This window comes from Homo sapiens, chromosome 4 (assembly GCF_000001405.40).
Source record: "Homo sapiens chromosome 4, GRCh38.p14 Primary Assembly".
Taxonomy (NCBI): Eukaryota; Metazoa; Chordata; class Mammalia; order Primates; family Hominidae; genus Homo; species Homo sapiens.
In genome coordinates this window covers 156,177,859-156,179,150 of record NC_000004.12, presented here as the reverse complement: position 1 = coordinate 156,179,150, position 1,292 = coordinate 156,177,859, and positions in this window count along the sequence as shown.

Here is a 1,292-nt window from a genome sequence, read left to right as displayed (position 1 = left end):
AAAATAAGTTATTTTCCTCTTGTCTACCACATCATGTCTAAATATAGGAGCCCCTATAACCTGGCTCAACACCCCCAGTCCAACCTTATGATCCTCTATTCCCCCAAAAGTACTTCTCCTTTAGTTATCCTGGTACTACACTATCCCATTGATAAGCCCTGCTCATGAAAATATGTATCATCTATTGTGCAAGTGAGACATTTCTGAGAGTGAAAGGGGAAGCTATTAAAAATTAGAGTGGGACGATAGTCATATCTAGGTTTATTCCAGACAAAATGGGATGTATGGTAACTCTCCCCTGTTCATGGCCTCCCTGTGCCCTACAAACACTTTACTTTCTCTTACAGGTATCCTCTGAAATCTGACTCAGATCCTGCCATCTTCAGATACTTTTTGTCATGTCAACACAAATTTATCTTTTCTCTGAATTCCTTTAGCACCAAACTACTATCACATGTTTCAATTGTATTCATGTAGCATTGTGATTAAACTGTGATCTCTTTTATGGAAGTTGGCAGCTAATTGTTTTATATAGTCTTTCAGAAGCCTCTCCAGTGCAGGGGAAGTGACAGATACTCAGCAAATACCTGTGGAAATAATTGGATATATCTTTCCACTCCTAAGCTCTCCTGATTATCCAGGAGCATAACAAATTAACTATAATATTAGTTCATTATAATTTAAGCAAGAACATTTTAGCTTATTCCATTCCAAAATGCCTTTACACAAGTAGCAAATAGAGCTCAGAATAAATGTATTTTAATAAAACTAAAATGAAGGTCAGAACATAGGAGGCTGTCTGGGAGGACTAAGCCTGTATGAAGAACTTTTTCAGCTGGCTCAAGGCAAGAAGTTTCACCTTCTGAAGGAAAAAAAAAGGCATAGAAAAATAGAATAAGAATGGACTAAGGACAAATTCTTCTTATTTTAGAGTTGTTCTTAGAGCTAGCACTGTCTGGAATCTTTTTTTCTACCTCATTAACTTATTATGCAGAGGCTGTTTGAAAGTTCGCTGCGCTTTCTCATGCATTCCTGCCCAGTCTGTGGAATGAGACTACACTGAGTATATCCTGAATATCTTCTCATATATAATACAAACCAAAATTATTATGTAAATGATTCTTTATTGGTGTGCGAGGTTGAAGTTCACAGAAGATGCAATCAACAAGCATAAGAATTCATCCCATAAAGATAGGCTCCTCTTTCAGTGCATTTTTACTGAATGCATATAATTCAAACCCATTTCAAAGGCTGTCGGATCCAGGTTTGGTGTTAAGTTCTGTATCTGGTAA